Source organism: Homo sapiens, chromosome 15, assembly GCF_000001405.40.
Source record: "Homo sapiens chromosome 15, GRCh38.p14 Primary Assembly".
Taxonomy (NCBI): Eukaryota; Metazoa; Chordata; class Mammalia; order Primates; family Hominidae; genus Homo; species Homo sapiens.
In genome coordinates this window covers 81,532,673-81,550,057 of record NC_000015.10, presented here as the reverse complement: position 1 = coordinate 81,550,057, position 17,385 = coordinate 81,532,673, and the positions used below count along the sequence as shown (strand labels likewise).

Below are 17,385 nucleotides of genomic sequence, written 5' to 3'. Positions count from 1 at the left end.
ATGTTTGTTTGATCATTATACTTTATAGCTGTGAGTTTGCCACAGTAAAATCGCAACTCATTCAGACCTTTATACCTGCAATTATACGCATATCTGTTCATATAGAATTTGACAATATTGATTTATGTTCATGTGTTTGTACAATTGGTATTTTAACATTTGCATTGTCTTCTCAAAAATATCTCACGGAGAACTTTCTCTGGCCATCCACGTAACTCTATATTTTTACTTGGTGTGAGTAACAAGGATGTGAACGATCATTTGTTTCTTAATTAAGAAAAATGGGCTGGGCATGTTGGCTCACATCTGTAATCCCAGTACTTTGGGAGGCCAAGGAAAGAGGATTCCTTGAGACCAGGAATTCAAGACCAGCCTGAGCAACATAGCGAAGCCCCACCTCTACAGATAATACAAAAATTAGCCGGGCAGGGTGGCACGCGCCTGTAGTTCCAGCTACTCGGGAGGCTGATGTGGAAGGATCAATTGAGCCCAGGAGGTCAAGGCTACAGTGAGCCAAGATTGCACTACTGCACTCCAACCTGGGCAACAGAGCCAGACTCTTTCTCAAGAAAAAAAAAAAAGAAATATTATTAACCTTAGGCATTCTATAATTGGTATCAACTTTTCATTGTCACAGAAGAAATCTAGCAATGAATATGCTTCCCGTATACATTTTAAATGGTTCTCTGTGGAGTTATCAAAAATTAATGAAATATAAGGCATGTATATTTTTAATTTAAAAGATATTGCCCTCTAGTGCCTTCCCATGAGTCCTCTCACTAGCAGTGTTGAAAGAGTACCCATATCTTTCCCCACACTTCATATTATTAAACTTGGTTTTTTTTTGTTTTTTTTTTTTTTACCAGCCTTGTCCTATTGGAAGTATTTCATTGTTATTGATTTCCCCTGATTACCAGTGAGGTTGCATCTAAATTTTTTTCCTTCAGACTTTGCATCTCTCCCACCTCACCTCTCAAACTGCCCTAATCATCTTAACTCCTGTTACGCAGGTTGGTATCACCAGCTGTCTGGCCCAGACTCTGTGAGCACAGAAAATGAATAAGAACTTTTGTTAGTAACTTTTATTTGGCTGTTCATAGCACAGCAGGGAAAGACGCATGGCTATTGAATTTCAATCTGGCCTTTCTTGGCCACTTCCCCAGCAGTTGCCTTTTGCAGTAGAAAATGCACTGGCCTAATAGTCAGAAGTGTGAGTGCAGGTTTTGCTACTTCCTGCTTCTATACCTTTGGTGAGTTTCCCATAATTTTTGGCTTCAGAGTCATCCTTTATTAAGAATAATTGACAATACCTATTATCCTAGTTTACAGATGTAAATGGGTGCCCCACGTGTTTAAGTGTGTTTCCCATTACCCTAGTTCCTAGTAAAATTCCAAATGCTTTGCTCAGTTCCAACTTGTGTGAAGTTGGAGGGTTCTCAGCCCATTTCCACACAAGTTGTCCAAGTTTCCTACCCAATGTTAAATGGTCTGACGAATGTTTATGACTATCTGTTGATGAGTCATCCATAGGCAACTGGTTGGCAACGGGGTTTGCACTTAAGTCAGCTCCGAACTAAATCCTTTCTACCCTACTTCTTGGCCTTCCTGGAAGGAGGATCCCTCACGCTAATTCAAAGACCTGTTCCTTGTACTCCTTCTCTCTTGTTCAAGTTACCTTTTAGCTTCTTCCTCTTTCCTCTTATCTCTAGTCTTATCCAGTTTTAAGAAAATTGTACCTGTGAATAGACTTTTGCTCCTAGTTTTATTTTGGATGGTGGTGGGGGAAGAGGTCAAAGAGAGAGGAAAATACACAGAACACACACACACACACACACACACACACACACACACACGCACACTCACACACATGCACACACACACGTGCTTTGGGCTATAACCCTACGACCCAGGGTTAGTGTGAAGAATCAAATGAGATAGTATATATGAACATTTTCGTAAACTGTACAGCCCCATACAATTAACGATATAATTAATATTAAAATGTTCCAGGTGAAGCAATATCTTTTATTATTTTCATCTTCCAAGCAGGAGTAGCCATTCCTCTTGCCAGCCAAATGAGCCTTATGCTTCTGTAGTCCTGTGCACAGGCTGACAAGCTAAACTGAGCCATACCAGACCTGCCCATATTTTATAGCTATCCTGAGAGTAGGATCCTCCTCCTCTCTCATTCTTCCTCCCTTACAATAGGAAATCTATCCCACTATATCAGGGAAGGGCTGTGAGAAGCATTCTGGTCTGAGTGACCTCCTTTCATTTTTGAAACCTGAATGGCTCAAGTCCAAGGGTGAAATATGTGCAGCTGAGTAACTACAGATGATAACACCCAATCCTGGTAGAAGGACTCCACCCTCCAAGAAGGCTCTTTGTAATAGGAAGTGCATGGTTTCCACATGTTCTTCTGGCCTGAACATCCATGTGCTTTTCTCTCAGGTCTTTGAGGCATGAAAGCTCAGCCCCCAGCTCAGCCTGACTCAGTGGAAGCCACAGGCCAAACAGTTGGTTTCTCTCATCATTTCCATTCTGGTTTCTCATTATAGTTTCATGTTCTTGAATGAATATTCCTAATCCTATTCAGCAGCCAGGCGCAGTGGCTCACGCCTGTAATCCCAACACTTTGGGAGGCTGAGACGGGCAGATCACGAGGTTAGGAGATCGAGACCATCCTGGCTAACACGGTGAAACCCCATCTCTACCAAAAATACAAAAAATTAGCTGGGCGTGGTGACATGCACCTGTAGTCCCAGCTACTCGGGAGGCTGAGGCAGAAGAATCACTTGAACCCGGGAGGTGGAGGTTGCAGTGAGCAGAGATCCTGCCACTGCACTCCAGCCTGGGTGACAGAGCAAGACTCCATCTCAAAAACAAACAAAAAAGAGAAATCGGCTCATCCTCTCTGAAGGGCTGCAGAGACATGGACTGGGCAGTAAGGAGCCAAGTTCAAGTCTTGACTTCACCACCAGCAAGTAGCTGCATGGCTGCAAGTCTCACTTCCCTGTGAGGTCAAGGAAGTGCAGTGTAGGAGATTAGAGTACAGATTCCTCTGTGTGCTTCATTTTCTTCACTGACGAAATAAAGGCAAAATACCACTTACATTGAAACGCTGCAGAGGTTCAGTAGAGTAAAAGGTTGGAAAACACTTAAAATAGTATCTGACGTGCTTAGTACCCTTGAACTTCAGTTTCTGCATCCGTAAAATGGGAAAACAGAATGGATAATTCTGTAAAGCCTTATTCTAGCTGATAACTAAGATTGAGTTTTGCAAAATAGAGATGTAATAGTAATACTGTTACAAGAATTCGGGCTTTCTTCCTCTCTGTCATACACTTGGCTGTGCTCTGGACGTACCCACCTTTTCCATTTGACAGATTGAGTAGGCAGCCTCAACGGTGGCAAGAAACTTTTTCAGCCAATAGAAAATAACTCCACCTGAGGGAATTAGGAAAAGCAGGACAGACTTTGATCTGAGTCAAGAACAATAAGGGTAATTTGGGAGGGAGACAAAGCCAGAGATGGCAGGAGTGGGGTACTCTCAAGGTTGGGGAGAGCATGGAATGTTTGAGACTGAAGTGCCTGGAAGAGGGTTACAGTGGGTGACACAGAATGGGCTGGAGAGATGAGTGGGACCCAAGTTCCAAACGGTTTTAAATCCATGTGAAGAATTTGAACTTTATCCTCTCAGGAAGCAAAGCCAACAGGGATCTTTAAGCAGAGGACAGATCTTGCCAGGTTTGCATGCCTCTCTAGAATGAAAGTTTTCAAACCACTGGAGTAGGAAGATTAGAGGCAATTAGACTGGTTGGGAGGTTGGTGAGAGAGATGAGAACCAAGACTCAAGAAGAAGGAATACAAATTAAGAGTTGGAGTTAGATTAAGGAACCATTTTTCAGGTGCATGTTATGAGATTTGGATATCGACTGCATGTGGGAGATGGGGCAAGAGGTCATTTTCTAACGTGGAGTAATCAAGAATAACAGAAAGTCTGAAAGGAGCTTCATTTGTGACACAGTAGGTTTGGGGTGTCTATGGGGCACTCGCTGTAAATACTTCATCACCTATGCATGCCAAGCACTACACTGCATTCTAAAGATAAAGTGGTAAGCAAGGCCACAGGGTCCCTGCCTTTGTGCAGCGTATGTTCTAGTGGGAGAGGCAGACAATAAATGGATTAAGTAGATAAACCAAATAATAGCAGATTGTGATGATTACATTGAGGGAAATAAAGAAGGTAATAGGAAAGAAGCAAATGTATAAAATTAAAAATTCAAGTTCAGTGTTGAAGAGAGATACCAAAGCAAGTTGGTTTGAGTGACAAAATAAACAATGTAATATTGCAGAATAACACACATTTCCAAATAAATGTTCATGAGTCTCTGTACTAACATTAATAAATGTTTGAATAAGTTCTTAAAAATTGGAGAGAATAGCCAATTTCACATACAGAAGATTTCAAATAATTCAGATAGATACTCTGCTCTTAAGGAGACAAATCATAACTCCCTTCTCGTTAAGTGTGGGATGCACATAGAGACTTCCTTCTAAAGGGAATAGCATAAAAAGAAGGTAAAAGAGTAACGTAACAGAAAAGAAGCCTGATAAACACTAGATCAAGGTTAACATCATCAATGACAAATCATGTGGATAGTATGTATTTTTGTTATGATATGATGAAAATGGCACTTTACCTCTGTAGTGCTTTTCCAAAAACCCATAACGTCAGTCACATCATGAAACAAACATTACACAAAGCCCAAGTGAGGAACATTCTACAAAAATGCCTGACCAGTATTCCTCAAAACTGCGAAGGTCACCAGCAAGAAAAATCAAAGAAGCTGTCACCTCCAAGAGGAGCCCAAGGAGAAATGATGACTAAATGTAATGTGGGATCTTGGATGGGATCCTGAGACAGAAAGAGGACACTAGGTAAAAATGAAGAGAATTCAAAGTATGAAGTTCAGTTAAAAATTATGTAACAATATTAGTTCATTAGTTGTCACAAATGTACCACAATAACGTAAGATGTTAACAATAGGGGAAACTGAGTAAATGGGAATCAATCTTTGGGTAGGATTTCTCTCCTCTATATTGTCATGTTTTCCTGTATATTCCTATGATAGAATCTAGATTTCCTTTAAAAGTGGAGAATTTTGCCTGTATTATTTTTGAGAGCCATGTTTAGTGCAGGGACATAAATCTAAAAGTTCACTACAAACTCATGGCAACGTGATGGAACTGTCTTAGTCAAACCAGAGCTAAAATGGAAAACTACCTGGTATAGAAGCATCCTGACTTCTCATTCAACTTGAACATTTTTTATGTAATGGAAAAATATCTGGCAGTTATATATAAGGTTAAGTTCACTAAACTTAATGAAATTTTAGAACAAATATGACATAATACACTCAACATTCCATTATCTATTCTCAGATAACCCCAAAATCATTTATATGGAATGTAATTTTTCATTTTTGGCCGCAGATTTTCCTCCATAATTATGCTTGGCTTTGAATGTGGTTTTAATTAGTTTACAGCAGAAGATAGGGGTAGTGCCAAGATGCTCCTTCCCGCAAGCCTCTTTAGAATACTATAAGGTCACTGAAAAACAAAACATTTTTTAGCAGCAGCAACAGGAGAAATGATCTTACCTTCTGAAAATCCTGGCATAACTCCCTGTCATAATTCGTATAGCAGAGAAAACATCTGTAAATGGACCATCCAATCAACAAGCTCTCCATCTACCCACGTTCATCTCTCAGAACTCACCCTCTCCATAAACGCACTCTCCAAAGTCATTACAACGGTAGACTCTAGAAAATGACTAGCTGAGCTCTGATCCTCATTTTCAACTTAGACGTTGTGTGACCTTGGGATAAGTTACTCATCTCCTTACCTCATTCTCCAAATCTAGAAAGTGTACATTTTCTAGCAATTAAAAAAATATGGCAACAGGACTCTTGCTTCCAGCTATGATGGAAGATCTTATATGAGGTCAAACCTCTCACTGGAAACAAATATAAATTTCGGATACTGTATAATAAAAAAAAAAAATACAGAGGCTGGGCGTGGTGGCTCATGCCTGCAATCCTAGCACTTTGGGAGGCCGAGGCGGGCAGATCGTGAGGTCAGGAGATCGAGACTATCCTGGCTAATACGGTGAAACCCCGTCTCTACTAAAAATACAAAAAATTAGCCGGGCGTGGTGGCGGGCGCCTGTAGTCCCAGCTACTGGGGAGGCTGAGGCAGGAGAATGGCGTGAACCCGGGAGGCGGAGCTTGCAGTGAGCCGAGATCGCGCCACTGCACTCCAGCCTGGGTGACAGAGCGAGACTCCGTATGAAAAACAACAACAACAACAACAACAACAACAACAAAACAACAAAATAGCTGCACAAAGGCATTTGGAAAACGACTAAAACATAGAATTTGAGGGGTCAAGGTGACAAAGAAAAGGGAAACACATTGAAGTGAGCAGGGCTTTTGCCACCGCTTTTATACTTCTAAAAATCAATTTTATTGAGGCATAAATGGCGTGAGAATATGCATGGCTGTTAAATGTGCATTCAGTGAATTTGGGCACATGTATACACCTGTGTCATTTCCATCACACATCAAACAGAACACTTTCATCATCCAGGGAAGCTTCCTAGTGCACTTTTGCTATCAATCCCAACCAACCTGCATTGCCCCAGGCAAGCACTGATCTGATTTCTATTACCATGACTTAATTGTGCCTGTTACAGACTTCATGCGAATGAAATCGTCAGTATGTAATACAGCATATCTGGTTTCTTCCACTTTGTGTTATTTGTTGTGAGATTCATCCATAGTTTAGGGTTTAGCAGTTCATGTTGCCTCCTCTTGATGATGCTTCACATGTTTTGAAGGTCTGTTATTAGAAAATACATCTCTAGGATTGCTTCATTCCTCACAAACTAACTCTCCTATGATTACAACAGCATTCATTGTCTTAAAATTCATATTTCTATTGTTAATATGGCTACATGAACTTTCTTATGCTTATTCTTTGCATACTGTGTCTTTCCCTATCCTTTGACTTTCAACTTTAGGTTGAAAGTATGTCTCTTTGCAAACAATGTGGAGTCGGATCTTATTTCTCATCCAATCTAAAAATCTCTATTTTTAAATAGGGGTGTTTAATTCATTTACATTTAATGTAATGATCAATACAGTTGAACGTCAGTCTACCATCTTATTTATTTCTGATTTTTTCTTTTTATTCTGTGGCCCTTATTTCACAAAAAATATTTTTACTATTTTGTCTATCTTTTCTATTGGTTATTTAACTTCTTCCTATTATTTTTAGTAGGTTTTAGTCAGGATCATAATGGGTATCCTTAACTTTTCACAGTCTACCTTTAATTAATATTATGTACTTTCTGTACACTGTAAGAACCCATAACAATGTAATTCCATTTATATTTTACCTTGTCCTTTATACTATTATTTCAAGTATTTTAGTTCCATGTGTTATTAAGCAAAATTCTTTGTTTTTATTTTTTATTTAAATAGTCAATTGACTTTTAGAGGATTTTTAAAAAATTCTTAAAATTATCCTAATATTTACCATGCCCAATACTATTTATTTCTTCCCAAAGATCTGAATTTCCATGTGGTAACATTTCCTTTGTGCTGCATTGGTTTTTAAGTATTTTGTAATTATTTATATTATTGCAAAATGTGCCTTTTAAAATTTAATTTTCCAGTTATTTGCCACTGCTATGTAGGAGTATCATTGATTTTATGTTAACCTTGTTAGCAGAAAACTTGTTACATTTACTTGTTAATTCTTGTCTGTAAATTATCTTGGATTTTCTTTATAGCAATCATGTTGTCTCTCTGATACATAATAGTTTTATGTATCCTCCTAAATACTTATGACTTTTATTTTCGTTGTTGCTGCCTTATTGCCCTGGTAGGAGTTACAGTATGACATCAAACAAAGGTAGTGTTAGTAAGCATCTCTGTTTCTTTCTTGATCTCATTTGGAAAGATCTCAATATTTGATCATTTACTGTGTTATTGGGTGTGATCTTCTTGTAAGATACTCTTTATCATATAAAAGAAGTTCCTTTCCATTTCTAGTTTGCTAAGGCTTTCCTTTTTATTACAAATTAAAATGATAACTCTTATATGCCCATGTTGTTTTTAGTGTATTTATTTTTATTAAACATAACTGCAGAAAGAGATAAATGTGTATTTTTGTTTGTTTTGTGATTGTTAATGTAACTCTGTTATTAAAAATTTATTACATTATCAAAAATTACAGGGCAATATCTTTCATGAACACAGAGAAATATTAGCACATTGAATCCAGCATTATATTAAGTGGATAATACATGACAATCAAGTGAAAGTAATTCTAAAAATACAAGTTTCGTTTAGCATTTGAAAGTCAGGTAATAAAATTCATTACATTAAAAATAAAAAATAAAAATCATGTAACTATCCCAAAAGGTACAGATGAAGCATGTGCTAATCTACCATGAAATATACAAAATGTGTATACTAAAAACTATATTACTTATTTTTAATAAAGAGGATATACCATATCTTATTAAAGTAAATATCATAAAGATGTCAATTTGCCCAAACTGACCTGTACGTTTAATACAATATCAATCAAAATCCCACTAAGAGTTTTTTAAATTGATACATAGTAGATGCATACATTTTGGGAGCACATGTAACAATTTGATACAGTCATATAATATGTAAAGATCAAATTAGGATAATTGGGATATTCATCACTGTTTTAGTTTAGTGTTGCTAAAAAGGAGTACCTGGGGATGGGTAATTTATAAAGTAAAGAGGCTTATTTGGCTTATGGTTCTGTATGTTCTACAAGAAGGATGGTGCTGGTATCAGCCTAGCTTGTGGTGAGGGCCTGGACTGTTTCAACTTATGACAAAGTAAAGGGGAGCTGGCTTGTCCAGAGATCATATGGTAAGAGAGGATGCCAGAGAGAGAGGGAAGAGATGCCAGGCTCTTTTTAACAACCAGCTTTCACAGGAACTCATGGAGTGAGAATTCACTCATTACTACAAGAATGGCACCAAGCCTTTCCTGAGAGCTCTGTCCCCATGAGCCAAACACCTCCCATTGGGTCTTATCTCCAACACTGGGGACCAAATTTCAACATGATATTTGGAGGGACAAATATCCAAACTATAGCACTTCCCTTAAATATTGATCTTTTCTTTATGCTAGGAACATTTGAATTATTCTCTTCTAGCTATTTTGAAAGATACAATGGATTATTGTTAACTATAATCACCTTCCTGGTCTATCAAACACGAGGTCCTATTTCTTTTATCTGACTATATATTTCTACCCATAAATCACTCTCACTTCATTCTTCATTCCCCCCACCGCACTCTTCCTAGCCTCTGGTAATCACCAGTTTACTCTCTATCTTCATGAGATCTACTTTTTTAGTTCCCATGTGAATCAAAACATGAGATATTTGTCTTTCTGTGCTTGGCTTATTTTACTTAACATAGTGACCTCCAGGTCCATCCATGTTGCTGCAAATGACAAGATTTCATGCTTTTTAATGGCTGAATAACATTCTATTGTATGTATACCACATTTTCTTTATTCATTCATTCATTCATTGATAAGAACTTAGGTTGATTCCATAAGTGTGTTTTAATTCACTGCTTTTTATGTTTAGTGTATTTATTATAGGTTTTTGCACTGTGGTTAGCATGAGGCTTATAAAAATTCTTATAGATATAATAAGTTATAAAGAGATGAGAACTGATATTAGATCACAAAGAAAATGGAAATAAAAAAATAAAAGCAACTCCACACTTTAATTACACCCTCCTACATTTGACTTTTTGTTGTCTCAATTTATACATATTTACACTGCCTATATCTTAACTGGTTGCTGTAGCTATTATTGATTTTGATAGATTTGTCATTTAGGCTTTATACTAGAGTTATGAGCAGATTATGTACCACAATTACAGTATTAGAGTATTCAGGGTTTGTCTGTGCACATAATTTTACCAGTGGGTTTCATAATTTCAGTTTTTAAAATTTTTCATGTTAATGTTTTATCTTTCAGATTGAAAAACTCCATTCAGCATTTCTTATGAGTCTAGTAGTGGTAAATTCACTCAGCTTTTGTTTGTCTGGGAAAGACTGTCTCTTCCTTGTTTTTGAAGAAGAGCTTTGGTGGATACAATATACTTGGATGACAGTTTTTTCTTTTCTTTCAGCACTTTAAAGATGTCATCCTGCTCCTCCTGGACTGTGCAGTTTTCATTGAGAAGTTTGTTGCCAGATGAATTGGATCTCATTTGTTTGTTATTTGCTTCTTTTCTCTTGCCACGTTTAGGATCCTCTCTTTGTTTTTGACCTTTTAGGTTTGATTTTTATATGCCCTGGTGTAGTCTTGCTAAGGACACATCTGTTTGGTCTTCTCTAACCTTTCAGTACCTGGATATTTATCTCTTTCCCAAGTTTTGGAAAGCTTTTTTTTTTTATTTTTGTGGGTACATAGTAGGTGTATATAATTATGAGGTACATGACATATTTTGGTAAAGGCATGCAATGTTTAATAATCACATCATGAAAAATTGAGTATCCAGCCTCTCAAGCATTTATCCTTTGTGGTACAAACAATCCAGTTATACTCTTTTAGCTATTAAAAATGTACAATTAAATTATTATCTACTATAGTCCCCCTGTTGTGCTATCAAATAACAGGTCTTATTCATTCTAAGTATTTTTTTTGGTACACATTAACCATGTCCACCTTTCCCTAACATCTCCATTACTCTTCCCAACCTCTGACAACCATCTTTCAATCCTCTGTTTCCATGAGTTTTATTGTTTTGATTTTTAGATCCCAGAAATATGTGAGAACATGCAATGTTTTTCTTTCTGTGCCTGGCTTATTTCACTTAACATAATGACCTCCAGTTCCATCCGTGTTGTTGCAAATGACAGAGTTTTATTCTTTTTCATGGTTGAATAGCATTCCATTGTGTATATGCACCACATTTTCTTTATCCATTCACTTGTTGAGGGACACTTAGGTTGCTTCCAAATCTTGGCATTTGTGAACACTGCTGCAAAATACATGAGTGTGCAGATATCTCTTTGATACACTGATTTCCCTTTTTGAGGGTATATACCAACAGTGGGATTGCTGTATTGTGCGGTAGCTCTATTTTTAGTTTTCTGAGAAGCTTCAAACTGTCCTCCATAGTGGTTTTACTAATTTATATTCCCACCAACAGTGTATAAGGATTCCGTTTTTTCCACATCCTCACCAGCATTTGCAATTGCCTGTCTTTTGGATATAAGTCATTTTAACTGGGGTGAGATGATATCTAACTGTTCTCTAATGATCAATGATGTTAAGCACCTTTTCATATGCCTGTTTGCCATTTGTATGTCTTATTTTAAGAAATGTTTAATCAAATCTTAAATCAGGTTAACATTTTTTTTCTACAGAGTTGTTTGAGCTCCTTATATATTCTGGATATTAATTCTTTGTCAGATGGGTAGTTTGCAAATATTTTCTCTCATTCTGTGGGTTGTCTCTTTGTTGATTGTTTCCTTTGTAGTGTGGATGCTTTTTAACTTGGTGTGATTCCATTTGTCCATTTTTGTTTCAGTTGCCTGTGGTTGTGAGGTATTACTTAAGAAGCTTTTGCCCACACCAATGTCCTGAAGATTTCCCCCAATTTTTTGGGGCAATTTTATAGTTTGAGGTCTTAGATTTAAGTGCTTAATCCATTTTCATTTGATTTTTGTATGTGGCAAGAGATAAGGGCCTAGTTTCATTCTTCTGTATATAGATATCCAGTTTTCCCAAAACCATTTATTGAAGAGGCAGTCATTTCTCCAATGTATGTTCTTGACATCTTTGTCAAAAATGAGTTCACTATAGATGTGTGGATTTATCTCTGGGTTCTATATTCTGTTCCATTGGTCTGTGTGTCTGTTTTTATGCCAGTAGCATGCTGTTTTGGTTACTATATCTCTGTAGTATAATTTGAAGTCAGGTAATGTGATTTCTCCAGTTTTATTCCTTTTGCTCAGGATAGTTTTGGCCATCCTGGGTCTTTTGTGATTCCATATAAATTTTAGGATTTTTTTTCTATTTCTGTGAAGAATGTCATTAATATTTTAATAAGCATTGTATTGAAACTGTAGATTGCTTTGGGTAATAATGGACTTTTTAACAATACTGATTCTTCCGACCCATGAACATGGAATATCTTTCCAATAACATGTAATATCTTTCCATTTTTGTGTCCTCTTCAATTTCTTTCATCAGTGATTTATAGTTTTCATTGTAGAGAGCTTTGACTTTTTTTGGGTTAATTCTTAGGTATTTAATTTTATTTGTGGCTATTGTAAATGGGATTACTTCTTAAATTCCTTTTTCAGGTTGTTCAGTTTGATATATGGAAAGGCTACTGATTTCTGTATGTTTATTTTGTATCCTGCAACTTTACTGAATTTATCAGTTCTAATAGTTTTTTGATGGAGTCTTTAGGTTTTTCAAAATATAAGTTCATATCATCTGCAAACATGATTAATCTGACTTTTTGCTTTCTAATTTGGATGCCTTGTATATCTTTCTCTTGTCTGATTGCTCTAGCTAGGACCTCCAGTACTCTGTTGAATAACAGTGGCGAAAGTGGGCATCCTTGCCATGTTCCATTGCCAGATGTATTGGAGCTCCATTGTTTGTCATTTGTTTCTTTTCTCTTGTTGCCTTTAGGATCCTTTATCCTTGACTTTTGGGAGTTTAATTATTAAATGCCTTGTGGTAGTCTTCTTTGGTTTAAGTCTGCTTGGTGTTTTATACCCTTCTTGTACTTCAATCTTGTTATCTTTCTCTAGGTTTGGGAAGTTGTCTGATATTATCCTTTTGAATAGACTTTCTACCCCTATCTCTTTCTCTACCTCCTCTTTAAAGCCAAAAACTCTTAGATTTGCCCTTTCGAAGCTATTTTTAGATCCTATAAACATGGATCATTTTTTTTATTCTTTTTTCTTTTGTCTCTTCTGATTGTGTATTTTCAACTAGCCTGTCTTCAAGCTCACTAATTCTTTCTTCTGCTTGATTAATTCTGCTATTAAAGGAATACTGCACTCTTAAGAATGATGCATTCTGAAATATGCCCATTGTAGTTGTCAGTTCCAGAATTTCTTTTTGATTCTTTTAAATTATTTCAATCTCTTTGTTGAATTTTTCTGATAGAATTCAGAATTCCTCCTCTGTGTTATCTTGAATTTCTTTAAGTTTCCTCAAAATAGCTATTTTGCATTCTCTGTCTGAAAGGTCCTGTATCTCTGCTTCTCCAGGATTGGTCCCTGGTGCCTTATGTAGTTCGTTTGGTGAGCTAACGTTTTCCTGGATGATGTTGATGCTTGCAGATGTTCTTCAGTGTCTCGGCAATGAAGAGTTAGGTATTTATTGTAGTTTCCACAGTCTGGGCTTCTTTATGCCTGTCCTTCTTGGGAATGCTTTCCGGGTATTCAAAGGGACTTGGGCCCTAAGCCCAATAGAACTGTGGTTTTTGCAGACTCATAGAGGTACCGCCTTGGTGGTCTTGGTTAAGATCCAGAAGAATTCTCTGGATTACCAGGCAGAGACCGTAGTTCTTTTCTCTTACTTTCTCCCAAATTCTTTTCTCTGCTTGATTCTCTCAGTTGTTAAGAGCCTGTAATAAATGTTTTAGTTCAGCAAATCAATCTGTGAGTTCCATGACTTCTGTTTGATTTTTTAAAATTATTTCAATCTCTTGTTAATTTTTTTGACAAATTTCTAAATTGCTTTTCTGCATTATCTTGGAGATTACCGAGTTTCCTTAAAACTGGTATTTTGAATTCTTGGCCAGAGAGCTCATATATTACCATCTCATTAGGGACAGTCACTGGTTCCTTATTTTGTCGATTTAGGGAGGACATGGTTCTGTTTGCTGTTGTTTCTTGTGGATGTATTTCTATGCCTATACATTGAAGCATTCGTTTTTTAATTCCAGTCTTCTCTACCTAGCTTGTTTTGTTTTTTATTGGACATATTTGCTTATTCTTTGTAATTTACCTGTTAAATTTCTTTTTTTCTTTTTCCTGCTAGGTCACCACCTCCTTTTTGGCACTAAATAGTAACTTAAGCCCAGGTTTGCCTCTGCTCTAATAAAAACTTATAACACTACGTGTCGCAAATGAGGGAGGTTTCAAAGAGCATATCCCAGTATGGGAAAGCTGGCTAGGGGTTCATGCACAAGGGAACTGTGGAACATACCTCCTACAGCCTGGAGCTGCTGAACAGCTATTCTGATCTGACAACTCCTTTGGCCAAGTTACAGAGCAGAGTTTCCAGGGCTGGGGATGTTAGTACCACCTCCCCACTTTGTCTGTGGCTGCCTTAGGGATATTTCTCCCTTCAGATACTGCTTCCTGTGGGTTGAGGCAGTGACAGGTCTTCTGCTAGGGAACCCAAGACAGTGGGGGTGCTGATAGTCTACCTTAATCTTGCTTTTTTTCAGGGTAGAAACCATGAGAGTGGAGTAAATTTTCCATGTGCTTGCTGTAGGCAAATTGTGGGGAGTGGAATTGCAGATATGGAGGTCCAATTCTCTTACCATCTGTTCAGAGTTTTTCACTCCTCTGTATCCCTGGGAACTCTCTGACCTTCCTATTTGAGTTCTGGGATATTGCTGGTGATAATCCTAGTGCTGTGTATTTGTTTTGTGTTTTCTGTCGGGGGAGTGAAGCAAGTTTGCTTCTATGCCCACCATCTTGGAACTGGAGCCACTTTGTGTAGAAATTAAAAATGGATTATTAAAATGTATATAGAATTGCAAATGACTATGAATCATTAATCTTTAAAAAGAGTAACAAAATTAGAAAATATAAACTACCATATATGAGGACTTATACACTACAGTAATAAGGAGTAGTATATAAGTGTGTGGAGTTGAGACAAACATAGTTAATAGACCAATGAACTAGATTAGAAAGTGCAGAAACAGGTAAAATACTTATATGATCACTTGCTTTATGACAAAGATGACACAATGTTACTTAGTTGGTGCTCAATAAAGATTGCTTATTTGATCAGGCATCCATACAAAAAAACATTGGAACTTGATCCTGCTTTCCTTCACAATAATTAAATCCAGATGAATTGTAAAAAGACCAATAATTATTTTAATCAGATGACACTGAAAGGCAAAGATTTCTTGAATAGGACACAAAAAGGCTATCTATAAAGGAAAATAATGATAAATTAAACTACATTAAATTAAGAACTTCTGTGTATTATAAAACATCAAGAAAGTAAAAAGATAAGTTTGATTGCAACAAGACATTTGTAGTACATATATTTCAAAAGGACTTGCATCCAAAATATGATGGACATGCACAAATTAATAAGAAAAGGAAAGGCAATACAAAAAGAAGGAAAAAAGTAGCTAAAAGTCTTGAACGGACACTTCACACAGGAAGATATTAGAATGGCCAATAAGCACATGAAAAAATGCTCATCATCAATAGACATCAGGGAAATTCAAATTAAAACCACTATGAGATACCACTGCACATTTGTTAGAATGGCTATTAACACCAGAATGTCTGTAATGAAAAAGGTAGAAACTCCTTAGTGTTGGTGATGATGTGGAACAACTGGAATTCTCATACGTCTGGTGGGAATATAAATTGCAACCATTTGGAAAACTGTTTGGCAATTGCTATTTAGGCTGAACAATTGCATTCTGTATGACCCAGAAATTCCACTCCTAGGAATAGACCCAACATAAATTTATGTTCTGTATAAAGCCAAAGAAAGACATATATGAAAATGTTCATAGCAGCATTACATGTAAGAGCCAAAAGCTGGAAACTACTTAATGCTTATTAATAGTATAATGGATAAGTAAGATGTGATATATGTATATTCTGGAATCAATCAGTCAAATGCTATATGCCACATGGATTTCATGAACATAATCATATCTAATCCAGAAAAAAATACATTCTGTATGATGCCATTCATAAAAATTTCAAAAACTGACAAAATTAATATATAGTGATAGATGTTAGAATATTGGTTATCTTTGGGTAAGAGATAATGACAGGAAAAGGGAGAAAGAGACTCCTGGGATGCTGATAATATGATAGTATTATATCATTTCATGGGTGTGTTCACTTTATAAAAATTCATCAGGCTGTACACTTCTGATTTTTGCATTTTCATGTATTAATTATATTTCAATTAAAAATACAAAAAAATCACAATGCAAAGCACCAATTGATGCCTTGTCAATTTTCAAAATATATAAAAAAATTTGTGAGATTTTGGTGGCATTTCATACTCTTACATATTACCAGTAGCAGTACAAATGTCTATGAGTTTTGAAATGTAATTTTTTAATAAAGCAAAATCAAATTCTAATCAGGGTCTACTACATCCTAGTTATCAGATTGTATGCTTTCATATTCAATCACACTTTATCATTGCAACAGGTACTATCAAGGACTAGTAAACAGGTAAGCTGGAATTCTCACCAGCTTAAAGTACTGCTATAACTAGAGATTCCTCAGAGAGAGTAATAATACTCATGAAAATTTATCCCAAGGAGGATGTGGGAATGGGGAGCTGTCAATATGAGAAGAGATCGATGCAAGAAGACCTGCATTACTGCTTGATTTGTAATACAGAAAACTGAAAACCTAAAACCGAATAAAAGCATATGTTGGCCAGTTGCAATGGCTCACACCTTTAATCCCAGCACTTTGGGAGGCCTCAGCTGGATGATTGCTTGAGCCCAAGAGTTCAAGACTAGCCTGGGGAACACGGTGAAACCCGTCTCCACAAAAAAATTAAAAAATTAGCCAGGCGTGGTGGTGTGTCTGCAGTCCCAGCTACTCAGGAGGCTTAGGCAGGAGAATTGCTTGAGCCCTGGGGGTGGAGGCTACAGTGAGCCATGATTGCACCACTGCACTCCAGCCTGGGTGATAGAATGAGACCCTATCTAAAAAAATAAGTACATAAAAAAAGAATATGCTTCAATAAATGATGTTTCTCAATGGTATATTATACAGATATTACGTAGCCTTTAGAACGGTTATTATGATTTTTCATACAAGTTGGCTTTTTTAGAAGTGCATATAGGAGATATTGTTGAATGAATGCATTTTCCAACAACGCAGAAAATGTTTAGAATAGAATATTAAGTGAAAGGCAAAAAACTTTTGTTGAAACTAAAACTATGTAAAAGTTATGTGCATGTATGTGAAAATATGGTGAAGAAATTCCCTGACATGGAAAAGGGTGATGTATTATGATGAGTGCTTAGGGGAAATTTTCTTA

At 36.7% G+C, this 17,385-nt stretch overlaps 1 annotated feature.

Annotated features, from left to right (window-relative positions):
- Positions 841 to 1,342: an enhancer, noted in NCBI's record as "NANOG hESC enhancer chr15:81841057-81841558 (GRCh37/hg19 assembly coordinates)". NCBI's record gives its function as "activates a minimal SCP1, AML or CMV promoter by ChIP-STARR-seq in primed H9 embryonic stem cells {active_cell/tissue: H9 hESC(primed)}" and the evidence as "EXISTENCE:reporter gene assay evidence [ECO:0000049][PMID:30033119]".